We start from the raw sequence: 20,768 nt of genomic DNA on the forward strand, positions 1-20,768 counted from the left end.
GGTTGCTGAAGGGAGTTCCCTTTTCCCCCATGCAGCTCCCGTGTGGGCCCTCGCTCCACCCTGCTATTCTGCATTCTCCGGGATTCACACCAACCACCGAGTCACTCCCAGTGAGAGAATCTTCGTTCCTCAATTGAAGACGCAGAGCTTACTCACAGTTTTGACCCTTCTTGGTGGGAGCTGCAGAGCAGAGCTGCTTCTATTCAGCAGCTGCTCCCCCAGTGCTATGATTTTAATGTGTCCCCTCCAAAGTTCTTGTTAAAGCTTAATCCTCATTGTGGTGGCATTGAGAGTTGTGGCAGAGTTTGGGTAAGCAGACCCCTCATGAATGGTTTAGTGCCTTATAAAAGAGCTAGAAGGCCTAGCTTAGGTCCTTTTTTGCCCTTCCACCTTCTGCCATGTGAGGATAGTTTTCATCCCTTTGGCCATGTGACGATGCAACCAGAAGGCCTTCACCAGACATCAAATGCCGTTACCTTGATCTTGGACTTCTCACTCTCCAGAACTGTGCAAATTGATGTGGCTGTGTCACCACTTATGGGGTGCCACCAATGTTGCTAAGTAACGGGGGATGGAGGAATAGGCAAGGCAGCCCCCACTTTGAGAGAAGAATGAGGCTAGGCCCAGAACCACACAGGCTGCCATGGAGGCCATCAGCCAAAACTGTTTTTTAGTGGTTTAATTAATAAGTTTAATAAAATGTGTTTCATATTTTTTTCATATTTTTATAGAGAAATCCAGATTTACTTTATATCTATTCCAGTATAAGAATTATTTTTATTTATGCTAGGACTGAATTAAAGACATGTCATTGAAACAGGATCCTTTTTCTATTTTTAGGTCATTCCAATAAACTATCATAGTTCCAACAGCCTCTTAGGGCTTAGTACTGACTGGTGTGTGGTTAAGAGGAAGAAATTTCTTAAGCAAGGTTTTAAGATATGGCATTTGGAAAATTAAGAAAAAGTCATGAATGGTCTCTTTTACTTCACTGGCCAAAAAATAAATTATACAATAATGGTATTATTTGTGTAGTTTTCAGTCCTGAAACTCTGGGCATACAAAGAACTTTTAACTACAATTTGATTGACAGATGGACCAAAGACCTTAACAGACACCTCACCAAAGAAGATGTGCAGATGACATAGAAAAAGACACTCCGCATCATATGTCATCAAGGAAATGCAAAGGGAAACAATAATGAGGTCCCGCTACACACCTATTAGAATGGCCAAAATCTAGAATACTGAGAGCATCGAATGCTGGTAAGGATATGGAGCAACAGGAATTCTCATTCAGTCCTGCTGGGAATGAGAATAGTATAGTCAGTTTCGAAGACATTTTAGTAGTTTTTAAAAAACTAAACGTACTCTTATGATATGATCCAGCAATCACACTTTTGGTAATTGCCCAAAAGAATTGAAAACTTACATTTTCACATAAGTACACAAAAATTTGTACCAAGATATTTATTGATGTGTACACACAAGTACACAGAAACTTGTACACAGATATTTATAGAGGCTTTATTCATAGTTGCCAAGATATCCTTCACTATGTGACTGGATAAATAAACTGATACATACAGATAAGATAATACCGTTTAGCATTAAAAAGAAATGAACTATCAAAAATGAAAAGACATGGAGGAAACTTAAATGTGTATTATTAAGTGAAAGAAGCCAATCTGAAAAAGGTACATAGTGTATAATTCCAAATATAAGACATTCTGGAAAAAGCAAAACTATGGACACAATGAAAAGATCAGTCAATTGAAATAAATAAATATGTTTTTAAAAATCAGTGGTTTCCAGGTATTAGAGAGAAGATAGGGATGAATCGGCAGAGCACAGAGAACTTTTAAGTCAGGGAAACTTCTTTGTATAATATTCTACAGTGGTACATGTCATTAAAAATTTGTTTAATCTCACAGATTGTACAGCATCAAACGTGAATGCTAAAATAAACTGTGGAATCTTGGGTGATAATGATATGTCAATGCAGATTCATCAGTTGTAACATATGTACCACTCTAGTGGGGAATGGTTATAATGGGGAAGGCTATGCATACATAGGGGCAGAAGGTAAATGGGAAATTTCTGTATCTTCTGTTCAATTTTGCTGTAAACGTAAAATTGCTCTAAAAATAGCCTAAGACTGGTTTTATAATAACAGTAGGCCATTATTCATATTAGCATTATCATTATAGTCATGAATACAGTCTTCTCTTGACTATAGGGAACACAGTGCTTTTAGATTTCCTAGCATCCATTTAGCTTCCATTTTAAAAATAGAACAACACTAAGAACTTCTATATTATATGCACTATGAAGCCATATATTGTAGCTCATTAATTTATTTGGTAATAAAGTGCTAATTAGTGATATAACACTGACTCAAACAAGTTAGCTGAATGGTTTTAATAATCATAGAACACACCCTGAATCTCCATCAGACTTATTTTATTCATTCAGTTGGTCAAAAGAAGAAATAGAACAAATGTGATGAATGAAAACACATCCATAAATTATACTAGAAAAAATAGCTCAAAATATATGTCTAGCAGAGTTATTCAGTGCTGTTAACTCCAACTTCCTTATTAGCATTTCATTACTACATAATACAGTTGAATTCAATCCTCGAGCTGGTTTTGCTTTATTTGATGGTTATATCAGGGATACATATTCTAGTGCATCCAATAGGAAGCCACATTAGCACATTGGACCTTGATGAACTTAATCTAAAATTATAATCTTCAATAACCTTGTAATACTACATAGAATATAACTGAGCCAATAAAACATACTTATTTTTGTTTACCTTTCAATTTACACATAAGTTAAATCTACATTTTATCTAATTAAAACCAGATTGTTGGACTCTCAAATGCCTTGAGAAATCTATCACTTATTGAAGTGCATGGCACTTTTAAAACATAAATGAAAACTTCAGAGAATTACAATTTATATTACACAAATACAACTTCTGTCAATTCTGTCACAGTCTAAACATAACCAGCTGCCTCTGCAATGATATCAAGTGGCAATTAAAATAGCACCAGTAATGTTACACTACAGTGAGGTGCAGAAAATATTTTGTCTGGTAAAAGCAAGAATTATATTTAGATGGTTGAGATTCATGTTCCATATTAAAAGAACAAATGTTCTGAAAGATTAGTCTTTGGTGCCATCATGTCTATTTGTGCATAATCTTGGACACAGGGTGGCTTGCATGAGCCAGATATCTGTCTTGTTCAACTTTAGTCCGCTAAGCCGTGGTCTCCAAGTATCTTCTGCAGACCATTAGTTCAATGAAATACTAATAGGAATTTTGTCAAAAAATAAGTTCTATGATCACATAGGATTTGGAAATGCTATGTTAAGCTTGCACATTTTTCTCTCCAATGAATTGTCAACTCTTTAATGTACTCACATGCATTATGGATTTTTTAGAGAAAATGCATAACTTCCCCCAAATTATTTAATTATAGAACACATGCCAGAATAACCATTAACTTTTAGATAAAATATATGTTTGGGACAAGCAAAGTTGGAAAAAATTGTTTTGTTATCTGATATTTGCTTAAGGCATCAAAGAAGTTAACACCAGGAAAAATAAAAATTTGGTTGGATTGGTTACATTTGTTCCACGTCTAATGTGTTTATTTTGGTAAGCATACTGGGTGTAAACGTGATTTTTTTCAGTGCTAACGGCCTTTAATGGAATTGATCCAGAACTCTTTTTTCAAGGAGGATCTACCGGGGGTAATGTTGCATGGAACAAGTTTACAGACTTGCATTCAAAATCCCATTTACCACATTTGCCATTCTGTTCATCTAAAGATACTAAAATATTTTTCCTGCTTGGAAGCTTCTAACACCACCAATTCCCCAGAATAACTAGGAGTCTGATGTGGCTGTCTCAGGGTTCTCTAATAAAAGAAAAATTCAGCCACCTTCCTAGAATATACAAGGACCAAGGAGCATTTACAACACATAGTGACACCAAAGAGGTCTTATTCTTTGAACAGTTAGAGGCAATGGGGCAAAGTGACCTGCATTAACCCAAATTCTCCTCTCTCTTAAGTTAACAAGGATTCTGCTTCATGCAAGGATTGACACCTGACATTAGGACCAAAGCAGGCAAAAATACAAAGCCGGTGATTTATTTTTAGTAGCTCCTTTTTCAGTGTCTTTCCTTTACTCTCATATTCCAGCCAACCATCTCCCTGGAACCCTTGGGCAGCCTTCTCTCTTCTTATTCAGAGCCTTCTTACTCCAACACTTACTCCTCCACTGCTTCAAAATTACGTCCCTCATTGACCATTGGTGTTTATGTGTTCTCTTTTCAAATACTCAATTCAATGACAGTAAATGAGTTTTTGCAATGGCTTCATTACATTGAAGAAAAAGAACTGGAGCACAGACAACATAATAGAATGGAGAATCATAATTGACTTAACAAAATGGAGGAAGTTAAAACCAAAGAACTTTCAGGGATGCATAAAAGGACAAGTAAGGCAATTTGCCCTAAATAACTCCAGAAAAGCTAAAACCTTAGAGCTATCAAATCGACAAAGTGCGAGGAATATGTGGAACTAAAAACAGGGATTGGTCAAAAGCAAAGTTCTGTAGATCTTTGGAGTCCATTACTATCTTAATTCCCAGAATCCGGAAGCCAGCATGCACTGCTTGCCACCACCATCCCCTCAAAATGAAAAAATTATTAAATCAAGAAAATGACAGAAACTAAAGGGTCCCAGGGAAGAAATACCTACTAATATTGATAAATGAGATGGGGATAATGAAAAGCCTGATTTTATGATTATTATAGTGAAATGAACTAAATCAGTGCATCTCAAACTTGAATGTGCACATTGCAAGAGCCTGAGGTCTTACTGGAATACGTACTTTAGTTGATTAGTTCTGGGGTATGGCCTCAGATTCACCATTTCTAATACTTCTGCATTTCTGCTGGTCCATGAGTCACACTTTGAATAAAAATGCAAAAGACAACAAAGTACATTTGTACTCAGAGTTAACTAGCCACTTTTTACTACTTCATTCTTGAATATGAGTAGACAGATAAAAATTACCATCCATTTGAAGGAAGCCTCCTACATGAAAGAGACCAAAACAGATATTAAGAAGAAAAAAAACATAAAGTACAGCTAGAGTACAGCTCTAGATATCATCATAGAGATATAAAGTTCATTTATGAAACTAGAGAAGAATTCTAAGGAAAAATAAAAATCAGAGAGCAAAAACATGATTCTAAGAATTTAAAATACATGAGAGGCCAGGTGCTGTAGCTCACGCCTGTAATCCCAACACTTCGGGAGGCTGAGGTGGGTGGATCACTTGAGGTCAGGAGTTCAAGACCAGCCTGGCCAACATGGTGAAACCCCGTTTCTACTAAAAATACCAAAATTAGCCAGGCGATAGTGGTGCACACCTGTAATCCCAGCTACTCAGGAGACTGAGGCAGGAGAATCGCTTGAGCCTGGGAGGCGGAGGTTGCCCTGAGCCAAGATTGTGCCACTGCACTTCAGTCTGGGTGACAGAGTGAGACCCTGTCTCAATAACAACAAAATAAATAAATTAATTAAATACATAAGAAAAATATCAATAGAAGTTTTGGAAAATAAAATCAGAGAAATTGCCTAGAAATTTGAGTATACATCAAAATATTTAAAATAAGAAAGTGGTTCAGGACCAATCCAAGAAAGCCAACATATGAAATATGATATTTTTAGTAACAGAAAAAAAGGAAGGAAAAGTACTAACAAGGCTTACACAAGAAAAAATATTGAAACTAAAGACATATGTCTTCAGAATGAGTTAATGTCTTTTGCAGGGACATGGATGAAGCTGGAAACCATCATTCTCTGCAAACTAACACAGGAACAGAAAACCAAACACCACATGTTCTCATTCATAAGTGGGAGTTGAACAATGAGAACATACAGGCACAGGGAGGGGAACATCACACACCGGGGCCTGTCGCGGGGTGGGGGGCAAGGGGAGGGATAGCATTAGGAGAAATACCTAATTTAGATGACGGGTTGATGGGTACAGCAAACCACCATGGCACATATGTACCTATGTAACAAACCTGCACGTTCTGCACATGTATCCCAGAACTTAAAGTATATATAAAAAAAAATACAGAAATTATCCGGGCATGCTGGTGGATGCCTGTAATCTCAGCTAATCAGGAGGCTGAGGCAGAAGAATCGCTTGAACCCAGGAGGCAGAGGTCGCAGTGAGCCCAGATCGTGCCACTGCACTCCAGCCTGGGCGACAGAGCAAGACTCCGTCTCAAAAAAAAAAAAAAAAAAAAAAAAAAAAAAAAAAAAAAAAAAAAAAAATTGTAAGATACTCTGGGATAAACTAGAAGGGATTGAAGTCATCTATTTGGGGCTTAATTTTAAAAACCATTGCTTGTTCTTACATTATATAATTTTGAAAAATAAAATACAATATGTTAGAGACAATGTTAAATACTAAAAAAAAGAAAAGAAAAAGGCTCACTAAGATATTTCAAGAAATATCAATATCGTACACACTGGCAACACGTATTCAACCTCAGAATCTAAAAGATAGCATAAAAATGCCATCCAAATTCTGAGGAAAAATTATTTCTATGCTAGAATTCCAAGTTAATTCTTATTCACCTGTTGTAGCAAAATAAAGACATAGATACAAGGACTAAAAATGTGTCTGCTATGCATGCATTTTTAGGACATTTCCAGAGGATGTACTGTAGCCAAATGAAGCATTAAATTAAGAAAATGATAGACTTAGGATCCAGGAAAAAGGCAACTCATTAAAGGATACTGAAAAAACTAATTTCCAAGACAATGAGAAAGAAACATCCCAAATGGACAAATGCATAGCAAGTGCCGAAAGAAATGAATTTAATTGGATTTGAAGAATCAAGGGAGGAAAAAATAGAAATAATGTACTTCAGTATATAAATGGCAATAATAAATGCGGTGAAAAATGTTCCACATTTGGAAAAAATGATAGACTTTTTTTAAAAGGTGAATAAATCAATTTGGCAATCATCAATTCCAGGAAAAAAATGGAGAAACAGGAATGGAAAAATACATTTCATATCTTAGTTGTTTTATCAGTAAACAAAAACACCTGCATAGTCATAATCATGTAATGTAATCAGTGACTAGTGGTTTACTAAAAAAAAGAAAGCACAAGTTATAACTATGTAGGAGGAGGTTGGAGAGATTATGTGGTTGAGGCGAGTATTGACAAGTTAAAGCATCATCCATCATGGCCAGAAGTAAAGGGGTCATCTGTAATATTGATGAATCGTGAAATAACAGTATAAGCCTATTAATTAGAAATGCAGATATAAATATGTTAAATTCAGTTTGGCTCAAAGTGGCCTCCATACACAATGAGCTGTACCTTAGCTTGATGGTTAAACAAGTTGTAACCTAACTAGTAGTATATCCTTATAATTAGGCAGCTTAGTCTCACTGATCTCAAACAGAAAGCTGCCAAATTTTGCCCAAATAAGGCAAAGGCCAAACTGTACTAATCAGTTTGCTGCTCATGTTGTAGGCACGGGCATTTTGAACCATCTTCAGTTGGAAGCAGCCTGCTTCTAGAATCTTTTTTTGTCGTTCAAATTAACTTTGTTAAATTTAACTATCTAAGTATTTTTTTTTCAGCGAATACCATAAACAACAGTTAAGAGAGTTGATAGTAATTGCTTTGATAATAATGTAATTAATTTTAAAAATAACATGAGCCAGGGGAAGGACAATCAGTGTCCAGTAGTTTTAGCTGTGGCATACCCAAAGTAGAGCCTTTATCCCTCCAGTGGGGCCTTGCAGAAAAATGGAGCCCAGAAGACTGCCATCCCTTGGTGGTACTTCCCTAAAACATCCTCAGCATCAGAAATCTGGGGGAAGGATGAGGAATGAGGGCCTTCCCCTCCCTAGAACATAAGCTGGGAGCTGCATGGAGAGGGCTCTGTTCTTGGCTGCACCAGCCTAGGGTGGAGTTTCCTTCTTCCAGACCAGGGAGAGACAATGAAAGGAGTAGGGGCTTAATTCAAATGCCATAGTGAAGTTTAGTATATTTTCTTTAATAAATATTTCTTCATTTGTTCTATGCTCTTAGAACCAACCCTAGAAAGTTAAATGTTTGTTTTATAAAAATAATGTTTGCCAGTTTGACTGGGGAGTGGATCCATGGAGATCTTTATGCTGTAATGCAAGAACTAGCCCGCCTCTAACCAGCTTTTGATTTTTCACAATCAACTCACCTTCTCTGAGATTAGTTGTCTTTTCTTTAAAATGAATGTAATATTGTCTAATTTTCAAGATTTTATTGGCATTGAAGAAAATGTGCATAAAGTGTTTAATGTAATTTTTGTCATATGGAAGACATTTTGTAAAAAAAAAACTATTCCTGTCTTTGAAGAAAAGTGATTATATGTCATGTATTCATTCATCCACTCAAATATGGCTTGAGCACCAGATATGTGTGCTATTCCAGATGGTGGAAATTTTGAGCAAAGCAAAGGTGCTTCCTTCACAGAGCTTATTCTAATGGAAGGGATAGACAATAAAAAGTGAATATATAAAATGATGTCAGGGATTGATCAATATGATAAAGAAAAAGAAAACACATGAAGAGTTAGAAAGTTATATGAGGCTGCCATACATACAAATGGACATATGGAGAAAATGGCCTATTTTCTCCATTAATTCATCAAGGTTAAGTGTTCAAATTTTGCCATTCAAATGCTTTTTGTCTTTAGAAGTAGAACAAATATCTTTTGCCAACACCTCCTAGTAAATATGGACCTGGTGAATATATATGTGTGTGTGTGTGTGTATATATATGTGTATCTATACACATATATATATTTATATACATAAATATATATAGTTTTTATATATACTATATAGTACGTATATATACTATATATAAAATATATATACATATATATATATTCAGCTGCAACAGAGGCTAAGCTTCCACAGCAATGCTTAAACGTAATAAACTTTACATATTGCCTCTGTTCTTATAAGTTCAAGCCTGCCTGAAAGTGTGGGATAGTATAATAGACTCTTGTTGCCTTCTAATTCTGTACTTCTATGACATAAAGGTGTGGGATATATATGAATGGGAGTACAGAGAGAGTGAGGGAGATTTGACTAAATATATTATAAATGCTATAAACCACTACTGGTGTTAAAATATTGTGGATGTCAGATTTTATTATCTTGAGAGTAACTTTGAAAAGAGAAGGAAATATAAAATATAATATAAATTACATAGGAGAGCTAATTACTAAATTAATTTCTATGCAGTATTCTCGCAGATGACAGAATGCCCTCTTGAATATTCTCTGTAAATCACAAACAGTGAGATTTCATTAAATACATTATCAGAGAGTATGTAATTATTATTAAGACATACACCCTGTCTTCAAGGAGTTTGTATTATAGTAGAAACAATAAAACTACAGAAATGGCCCTGTAAAGTTCATATCTCCAGGCCACCAGCATAGGAGTCATGTTAAGAAGTTAGCACTATAGCTGCTCTGATGCTGAAAATTCTTCACCTACTTCCTTCTGTCTCAACAAGGATAATGGAGGATTTAAGGGACAAGGATTATTTTTTGGATGTCTTCTACTACTTTGTCCTACTCCTGGTTTCCCCCAACATCTCTCAGAGGATCAAGTGCTGCTGGAAAAGTTCACAATCAGCTGTTTCAGCCACCAGCCTCCCATGCAGCAACAGGGATTAGGAGATGTGAAGGGATGCTATTCCACACATACTCTTCCTTTGCCTTAGGCAGGAAGTTGGGTGCTGAGAGTTTGTGCAGATAAAGTTGGCAAAATTTTATGTCACAGACTGAAACAAGAGTTTTAATACCAAGGCTTCTGCTCCCTCTGAGACAGCTGCTGTATTCTACACAACCATCACCGTCGTTCACCGCTGGCTACCATCATGCATAGATTTTTCATTGCAAAATCTCTCCACAAAATGCTCTTTTCATTGCCTGTAATAGCTTATTTTCTTCTTTCTGTACAGCTTCAAGAAGCTGTGGGCTATACCTTTCCAACTTGCCTCTACATGTTTACAAATTATTGATCCTGTTGTCTCATGATCTGAAATTCTCTCTATATCCTTTTTTTCTAGAAGACTTCTGGAAGTTCATTAAAAACCCAAATTACCCTTTTGGAGCCTCATCTGTTCCAGGAACAACTTCTAATTCTAGTCAACCAATCCCCCTTCCCAATGCCACCAGCAAATTTGTTTTGAGAGGTTTGGAGAGGAGAGAATTGATATGAGAGACATTTAGAAGGCAGAAAGGGCAAAACTTAGTGACCAGTTGTATGTATTGTATGGTAGACTGGATGGAGTTATGGTCAATTTTCTGGATTCTGCTATAGGCACGTGGGTAGAAGACAGAGTATAGGAATTCAAGTAGGTGGGGAGAAGAGAAGAGGATTAAAAGGCTTCAGTAACTGTCATGATTATATTTCAAAATTCTTGATGTATGTTCAACTTCAAAGGGGTAGAATGAAAGTAGAGCGAACATCAGACAGAACACAGACAGAAAAGAAAAAATGCAGGCCCTAAAACAATTAAACTGGCATGGATGATACTATTCATGGGCGCCACTTGAGGTACTTGGCAGAGTTTCCATTCAAGTGATAGCATCCAAGAGTCCAGGCCAGAAAATTCTTTCTATTTTGAGAGAGAGAGCGGTTACTTAATCATGTAAAATAGGTCTATGGCTATGCTCTGTTCTTAATAAGTTCAAATACCAAGTAAGATGGACATAAGGAAATGGGAGATAAAAGATGGATATGTGATCTGGGAATGAGACAATGAAGTTTCAGAGATGGAGCAGTTCTGGCTTATTTAAGGAGAAACACAGAGGTAAAGGAGATTGGAAATATAGAACATCAACAAATTGTGAGTCTAGTGTATTGGAAAGTGCATTCTCATGGGGGTTTATATTAAACAAAATAACAGAAACAAAGCAAAGTACCAACAATAAGGCAGATTATGTAAAATTTTTCATTTGAGGTAACTACCATAAGGGGAATGAAATACATTTTTTTTTTGTGAGGAAGAAAATAAGTACGATATTCCACAGCAACCCTCTCTAATAGAATGTTCTGTAGTGGTGGAAATGCTGTATACTAGCTACTAGCCACATGTGATATTGAGCACTTGAAATATTACCAGTTTAACCAAGGAACTGAATTTTTAAAATTATTTCAGTATATTTAATTTTAATTTCAATAAGCACATTGGGCTAATGGCTATCATATTGGACTGTATAGTTCTACAGATCTGTAAGAACAATGAACTGAAAATATTAAGAGCAAGGTAGCACATTGCTGACTCTCCCACCAAAGTGGACCAAAGGATGCAAACAAACTTCATAATCTTCTCCATATATCTTTCTGGCCTTCTTACTATCTACCCTGCCCTTTTGAGAGTACAATGGCATGGAGACGAAAAAGAATAATCATGTATGGGGGCAGACTGTGTGCTATTTATAATTATAAGCTCTTGTTAACTAGGTGCTGTTGATAAATATGTGTGGTTTCAGTCTTTAGGTATGCAATTACTTCTGCCAGAATGTTCTTCAGGCTTCTGTATACAGCAGCAATATCTAGAGTTTGGTCCGTGGAACCCTGAGGGTTCTTAGGATCCCTTCAAGGGTTCCAGGAAGTCAAATATATTTTCAAAATATACTATGACATTATTTGGCTTTTTCTGTATGCTGACATGGTACTGATTTTATGCAATCCATGGTAGATTAAACAGCACCAATCAAGACAGTGGCGCAGAAATACATACATCATTATTGTAGTCTTCACAGCCAGGCACTTACAGCTTTTTTTAAAAAAGAAAATTTTATTCAAGAATGTCTTTAATGAGGCTATTAAGATTATAAATTTTATTAAATTTTGACTCAATTATTGAACTTAAAAATATGCTGTATGACAAAAGGGGAAATACAAATAAAGCACTTAGGCTGGGCATTAAAAAACAGTGGTTATTCCAAAAACACTGTGCAATTGAGTTGTGATCTGATCATCATTTTTACTCAAAGGAATAACTGAAAATTGTTATTCAGAATTGGGAGTTTGGCAGACATTTTCTGGAAAATGAACAAAGTGACCCTATCACTCCAAAAAAACAAATTATTGATGTTATACACAACCAAGGATAACATTTGAGCTTTCACAGGAAAATTTGAATATTGAAAAACTTCTATTTTCCACTGTGAGCTTGAGTGTTTCTCAGTACTTAAAGACCTTTCTGAGAATATTGGTAATGATATTAATGGATGTGATTTTTATAGTGTATAATGAAATGTGTCAAAATTTTGAAATTCTAATTCTGCATAATTCCACAAACAAATATTTTTCAAATGATCAGTATATAATGGTTTAAAGATAAACTATTAAAGTGCAGGACAGACCAATTGATTTTAATGAAACGGGCAGGGTAAAATAAGGTTACTGATACAGTTTCAGAATGCACATTACAATGAACATGTAAGAACTTACTACTACTTGAGTTTTAGTGTAATACTATTTTTAGTTATCTGAAAACACTGTTATTTTCCCTTGTTCAATTATATACCTGTATGAGGTGGGACTTTCTTTACATATGTCAAGCAAAACAATATTCTGCAACAGATATAATACAGAGCAGATATGAGAAACCAGCAGTGTTAACCAGACATTAAGAAGATTCACAAAATTGTAAAACAATGATATTCTTCAAACTCATATCACTGATTTATTTGAAAATATTGCAACTTTTTATAAAAGAAAAATATGTTTTAATGTTAGCATGCAGTGATTTTTATTTATCTGTAAGTGAATAAACAAAAATATGTTGTAAATTTTGGTTTTAATTTACAATATAGTAGATATAGGTAAATATAATGCATGTAAGCAGAAGAATTTTGGCTCCCTCAGTTACATTTAAGAGTATAAAATTGTTCTGAGACCAAAAAGTTTGAGGACCACTACTCTAGAAATATTTTATGCATTTTGCAGGACCTCAGTCTTAAAAAGCCTTTTCCTGACTCCACAGCTGCTCATTCCTTGTTCTTTGTTAGTATAGCAATTTGTGTAAATGTTACTTTGAATGTGTTCACATTGTATGAGAGAGAAACAAAGTTGGAAGCAAGCAGACAGAAACATACACAGGTGGAATTAAGCAGTGGCCCTTTGTATAAAGTGGAAACAATCACATGTTTATTAACAATAGACAGGGAAAATTAAAAGAAAATAGTGGAACAATGAAAGAGGAGAATTTGACAGGTTTATTTAAGAGTCCTAGCTGTGAAGAAGAGCCAAGGTAAAATAATTACCCATGGAAAGGAACAACTGCATTGTTATCTACACTGAGATACGTTAGTATTGATAAAAATTCAGCATTGGTGAAATGAAAACTAAGAATGGTAAGTGCTATGTTCTGAATGTTTGTGTTCCTTCCCTTTCCCCAGAATTATTTTATTGTATGCTAATCTCTAAGGTGGTGGAATTAGGAGGTAGACACTTTGGGAGATGAGATTAATGTCCTTATGAATGAGGCATTAAAGACCACTTACCCCTTCCACCATGTAAAGACACAGCTAGAATGTTCCATTTATGAACCAAAAAGTGATAATATCAGATCATTAATTATATGTAAAGAGAAATATATATTATTTCAATAATTAATTGTAGGCTCAATTTATTATAAAATACCCCCTTTCATACTGGACTATAATTTCCATAAAAGATAGGAAAAATGTGTACTTATCCATAGGGACACCCTTAACCATAGATTTCTTACAATGCCTTACCCAAGCTCGATTCATAATGCAGTAGTTGTGAATGCCTGTCAAATGAGTAAGTGTGGCTTAATCTGTGTAAAAACATAAACAGCCCAGAAACGGAAACTACTAAGTGTTTCAAACAGAGAAAATAAAATTCATGGAATTGTTTACATGGGTGATAGAAGAGCTGGTGAGTCAAAAAGGGTTGGTGAGGCAAGCCAGAGATTAACAGCAGCTGGAAGCAGGACAACCCTGGAGCAGGGACAAAGGGAAGAAATGATGATAACAAATCTATAAGGGAAGCTAGATTCCTTGCCAGGAACCATCATATCCTAGAGAGAGGGGCTGTTCTGTTATGAGCTGAGATGATACAGCCACTGCTAAAGATGTTGCCATGGTATCTAACTCTCTCCTAAGAGATGAAGAAATACTTTTGTTTCTCTCTTACTCCTCTTTTCCAGTTTTCACCATTAATAAACTTGCTCAGAGGCTGACTGGTAAAAAAAAAAAAAAAAAAAAAAAAAAAAAGCTAGCTGGCAGGAAAATGGCCTTCCTTGTGATGTAGAACAGTGGAGAAAGGGACAGGAAAATGATTACTAGAGTCATTAACAAATGCCCACTACAGTGGATCCTGTAAGCTACCTGGTAGACTGATTTCTGAGGGAGCTAACCTGCAGCCAATGGAACACAAAAATAATTCAGTATAGAAAAATTCAGAGTAGATGTCTTTTCTGACATTATTATTTCAAAAGAGAATGGAACAAAATATTTCTATTTAGAAATGAAAGTGTTATACAGGCATTAAATCTACACTTGTTCAAAAGATGTTACCAGCATGATGTATAGGAAAACATGTTTTGAGTAATTAGTGAAATGGATTATACCCATAAACAAAGAAGAAACATGGTGAGAGTAATTATTTCTGGCATGTAGAGTATGTAAGGCTGCTAGAAACACAAAACGCACAATGGCAAAAGTATTTGCTTTTACTTAAGTGGGAAACATTTACAGCTTCTGGAATATAAAACTGTGTGATCCTGAACAATCTTGTGTTTCTCGGACCTCAAATTTATGGTGCAAGTAATAAATTTCAACCATCAGAGAAAACATTCCAGACTTTTTATTTGCATGTTTTCATTAAAGAGCTAAAAGGGAAATGAGAGTAACATAGTCAATTACATAAATATGCAGGGTATTCAACAAGCAGGCTCTGTCTCTAGAATAAAGAAAATATTATCAGGGTAAAGAGGATGTTGCCTACTCTTGGTGAAACAAATTACATGTTTGTGTATCTGTAATATTGACATCAAAGGTACCCAGGAAAGAAAGTAAAACCACAAATGATATCTTATTTCTGTCTCATTGTACAATCTCCTATTAAAAAAAGGGAATGCAAGAAAAAAATGAATAAATTGAATTTATATTGCTAAGAAAATCTAGTGTTGTATTTTAAAATATCTGGGCACTTGATGCAAGCTCAGTAGGTAAATGATTAAATAAATATTTGAAGTTTTGCAGGTGGAAAATTTCTTAGACATCATCAAGTAAAATATCCTTATTGTGTAGATGAAAAATGAGACCAAAAAAGAACAAAACATATTCCAGTTTGTATGTACATAACAGTTAAAAAAGAGTTCCTTTTATTGACTCAAATGCTTGTAGTTGGTCCCAGAGCTGACATTGTAGTCAGCCAGAACTGGGAAATCATTCAGAGCTCTGCTACTTCTTCTTGTGTGATCATACACAATTAAACTATTTTGCCTCACTTTTCTCATCTGTACATAAAGATAAATGTATTACCTAACTCATAGGAGATTTGTAAAGATGAAATGAGATAATGCATATAATGCACTGAGCAGAGTACATAAGGACACAGCAGATGTTATCCTATTCTTGTTCTGCATCACTCCCTGACTTTCCATCAAGCACTGACTAGCTAAGCATTCAAGTTGAAAATACGGTCTACATCCCTATGGAGACCTATAGAGGGAGGCAGCAGTCACTCAAATGCTCTTGTAATATTTTCTTTATGACTCATTCCAATGTCTTCCCACTATCATGAAGGTATTCTTATCCAGCCTTGATTTCTTCTACCCTGATTGCTTCTATTACCCATAATAAACAGGCTACCCAAGAGCAAACTGGCCACTGCAATCTTTAGAATATTTGGACAAATTAAGCCTTTATTAAAGATGCAGTAATGAGGAGTTTCAGTAGGGACAACGCTAGGTGGCTTCTGCACTGAGGGGTGGATATGAGTGTCTGGGGCAATTCTCTGCCACACTGCTAATACAAAATAAGCCAAAAAAAAAAAAAAAAGGAGGCCATGTTTAGTAACATGATTTGTATATGATTGGTGTTCATGAAGTTCTGTTGTAATACAGTGGATCAAACGATATGTAATTGGAATTTGTGCCAGGCATGATAGGCATAATTTATCTCAAAGTCAAGGCAAACATGTCATGGGTTTTTCAAATTCTTAGCATTCATTTAGAAAAAAATATAATCAATATTATCAGTAGTCATCATAAAGGCAAAAGTAGTGTGGTCCAGGAAGATATCACTATAAAGATACTATTTTAAAACTGGCTACCAAAGGTGAGATGCAGTGGTTCACTCCTGCAATCCCAGCCCTTTGAGAGGCCAAGGCGGGTGGATCATCTGAGGTCAGGAGTTCGAGACCACCATGACCAACACGGTGAAACCCCGTCTCTACTAAAAATACAAACAAATTAGCTGGGTGTGGTGGTGGGCCCCTATAATCCCAGCTAACCAGGAGGCTGAGACAGGAGAATAGCTTAAACCTGGGAGGCAGAGGTTGCAGTGAGCCAAGATGGCACCAATGCACTCCAGCCTGGGCAACAGAGCAAGACTCTGTCTAAAAATAAATAAATAAATAAATAAAACTACCAAAATGTGAGGAAGTGCATCTTGTAGCTGTGTGAGTGAAAGAAAAGCATTTCAGTTAGAGGTCCTGAGGTGGCTGAAATACATTGCTTCAAGATTCCCCTTAGACCTCTAGGCCTGTGGATTGGTCTACTCTGCCTTGTGAGAAGGTAATGGTACCCATTGTTTGAAGACTCTGTAGAGGCCTTAAATGTAACAAGTACCTACCCTTCCTGCCACCAGACCAATAATTTTGTCATATCTGAGAATAAGCTGAATGGGGAAGAGCTCCCCATGTGAAAGGAGAAGAGGAATTTTATACCAAAGGAACCATCAGATCTGGTTAAAATGTATAATACGTACCCAAAGTAATTGGTAGGTATGACTGGGAATATATATTGAAGGTACTGAACCAGAAATCACAAGAATATAATTATGAACATGAAAGAGTTTTCCATTTGGAGTCCATCCACCATGCCAGGAATTAAGACCCACACACAGGCCTTTGGAGATGATTTTAATATACTTCCTGGATGACTCTTAGAAACTTGGAAAAGGCAGTGACCTACATGGAGTTGGAAATAGCAGAACTGCTGTGGAAGAATACGCAAGAATGGATCAAAAGTCTCAGAGAAGAGCCTATGCTAGAATGAATATTTCTAAGACTCAAAGACACACCAGCTGAATATGTCAAAGCAATAAAGGATGCACTGGCAAAAGAAGCACCAGAATTCCTGAATGCCTTAGTAATGGTTGTCCTGTGTATGACAGGGCTGACCGTGGGAGATTCTGTCACTTCCCCTTAACAGTGGGGGTGAGAGAATCTCAGAATAGCAACAGCCAGGGAGAAGTCCTTAATCATTAGAAGTAAAGTGGGTGTAATGATCATAATGGGCATCTAAGTTAGAATGGTAGCCCTGAAATATCTCATATCTGACCCAGAAGATGACACATAAAGCACGATATACCAGAGGTACCCAACAGGAATATTGATTGTATATAGCTACAAAACGTCAGTGGTTCAATTTATATTTTAGAGTTCTTGGTGGGACAAGATTAAGTCTCAACAAAGGGCTGGGATTTGTCTGAAACTACATGTTATGGACTGATTGCGTTCCTCTAAAACTCATATATTGAAGCCCTAAGCCCCAAAGTGATAGTATTTGGACATGAGATCTTAGGAGGTAATAAGGATTAGATGAGGTCATGAAGGTCAGGCCTTCATGAAGCAATTAATGTCCTTGTAAGAAGAAATACCAGAGAGCTCTCTCTGTCTCTCCCAGCATGCAAATAAGAGGTTATCTGAGAACACAGGGAAATGTTGGCTGCCTACAAGTGAAGAGAACAGGCTTCAGAATAAAACCTACTTTGGTGGAAACTTGATCTTGAACTTCCAGCCTCCAGAACTGTGATAAATTTCTGTTATTTAAGCCACACAGTCTACGGTATTTTGTAATGGCAGCCCAAGCTAACACAATGCATTTGCATGGTTTCTTCATATTCCGTCCTGCTTTCTTCTCGTCCTTACAGGCTTCTCCGAGAGCACTCTCTCAATCAAGAGTTCCCATCTCAGGATCTGCTCCTACAAGACCCAACTTAGGATAGTAATGATGTTTATCACTTATTTAGTGAATATGTGTCAAGTGCCAGACATGCCTACATTCAACATGCAGTGGCAAACAAGACAAACATTTTACAAGACAAACATTTTACCCAGTTTCACAGGGCTCAGAGGCTTGTGGTCTCACTAGTGTTATTTACTAGGTATTTTATTAATCAAAAATGATAGTAGTTTGTAAAAATACCTTTGTTAATGTCATAATTATTCTGACATTAGCTTCTGAATTTATGGTAATCTGATCATAGAATATGTCATATAAGATCTGCTTTAGGAAAAATGTATTAGGAGCTTAAAACATTTCATACGTATTCTAGAAATATTCAGAGAGAAAGTATATTACCTGACTCCTCAACCTGGTTTTTACCATACTTTTCTAGTCTTGTTCCATATATTATGGGATCCTTGGGGTGTTGCTTCACCAGCCAGGAGCCACTGTGGACAGTGGTGCCTTTGCCTGAGTTTTCTTCAGGCCCACTGGGCCCACTCAACCTGGTGGACTGTGCTTGGTTTGCGCTACTGGCCTGGATCCCATGCCTGCCAAGGGTGAGTGGAGTGCTGAGGGGTATGTGAGCAAGCATGGGGTCCAGCCACTGCACACAGCCAGGTTCCTTGAGGGCTATGGTGGGGTGGGCAGCTCCAGGCACTGGCATGGGCTCTGGCTCCCTGCAAGGCTGTGGCTGGACCAGGCGTAACGCTAGCAGCTTCCATGGCTGGCACCGGAGAAACACATTGTCACCCAGAAGCTTGGAGATGCCAGGAACGAAAGAATTCCAAAGAGGGTGTCACAGCCCTGGCTTGGAGAACTCCTAGGTCTGGGCTTCCTGAAGGGCTGCAGCTCTTCTCTCCTTCTTGTCCCCAGTAATGTGGCAAGCAAGGGGTGTGTTTCAACTCTGTTGACTTCCAGGGCCACCGACAGTGCAGAGGTGGCCAGATCCGCAGCCACAGCTTGGACGGCTGCTGCTGCACCCAGGAGGGCAGGTCTCTTGCCTGCTGTCTACCCGCAAGAGCAGAGGGATGCCTGGGTCTGCAGGGGCAACTAGGTGCCTGCAACTGCGCCCAGGGATCGAGAGGCTCCATCCTGCCAGCTCGGAAGGGGGTAGGGCTTCCTCCTGTTCCTGGCTCCCACCAGCTGGGTACACATGAAGCCCAAGCTGCACCTCCCCTACTGCTGCTGGCATCATGGCAGCAGCCGCGTCTGGGGCCACCACTGCCATCACATAGATGCCATATTGCTACTCATTGAAATTACTAAAGAGGTGTCTTTTAAAATACTGTTTGGCTGGTTTCTTCATTAAATTATTTCTTCAATCATTTTCTTCCTGTTTTTTCATAATTTAATAGTTTTCTTTACTTATTTTGTTCAGTATTTAATCATAGTCCCTGTGTTCTTTGGTTCTCCTCTCTATGGATTCTACCTAAGAATTTGCCAACAATCACGGTATGTCAGTTTCCTTGTTCTTTGCACATTCTTCTTGGGTACTGTTGAAAACTTTAGTACATAACCAATAAGGCAGGTTGGGATAAGTGATTTCAGGCTAATTCTTGGTGCATAAGTGGTACCTCTTTGGTGTATTTCTGCTTTAAGAGATGGTCTTATTTTATCCTCTGCCTTTCTTCTTATATTTCCAACTTTAATAAGTACAATTTCTAGTATCCAGGGGTACCTCATGGTCCTTTCATTTTTTAACTCATTTTGTTCTCAAGGACTTTACCCTTCCACCAGCATTTTAATCTACATGTCCTCTTCACAGAGCAGGTCCATTGTTATCTGTCAGCCACAATGTCTGCATGGATGTGGAGCTGTAGAAGTGTACATTAGAAGTATTCTGATCACACGAAAAGAAGTCCCCCCAAATAGATAGAGAGACTGGTTTTGCCTAATATCATTTTAGTAGCCAGGTACCTAATTTCTTTTTTTCTTTGTCTTTATAGAAATTTGAAAAGAAAATTGGGGGGAGGGCAGAATCAAACAATACTAGCAAGAAACTTTTTAAAATTATAACCAATCAATTGCATTTTGATATTTTTCAATGTAGTGTTAACTTTAGCTACATTTTCCCAAAGGATAAAGACAAATTCACACTCTCTACATGCCCTGAGAACATTCCTTAGGGATATGGTCAGCAACATTCCCACCCTCCTCATGCCCCAGTGAGAATCTGTTCAACATTTCTTCTCCAGTCTTCTATTATATAGATATATTTTGGAGATTGGAGGGGTCCAACGGTACAAAACTCTATACAAAAGCATGCTAAACACTGTTCTAAACATTAGAATGATATAAGAAACCATACAATATAGAGATACATGTATCATTATAAAGTATCTAGGTGAGAACACTCAAATGAGAAGATTTGCCTGCACAGCATGAAAAGAAACTTGAACCTCTAATAGACTTTCTAAACTAATTAACAAA

General features: G+C 37.0%; 1 long non-coding RNA gene across 1 annotated transcript; it reads left to right on the forward strand.

Annotated features, from left to right (window-relative positions):
* Positions 1 to 873: 873 nt before the first annotated feature.
* Positions 874 to 19,663, forward strand: LOC124901054 (uncharacterized). Its single transcript, XR_007058914.1, has 2 exons — positions 874 to 1,265; positions 18,262 to 19,663. It is a non-coding gene; the product is annotated as an uncharacterized LOC124901054 (long non-coding RNA).
* Positions 19,664 to 20,768: the final 1,105 nt, after the last annotated feature.

Source organism: Homo sapiens, chromosome 5, assembly GCF_000001405.40.
Source record: "Homo sapiens chromosome 5, GRCh38.p14 Primary Assembly".
NCBI lineage: Eukaryota > Metazoa > Chordata > Mammalia > Primates > Hominidae > Homo > Homo sapiens.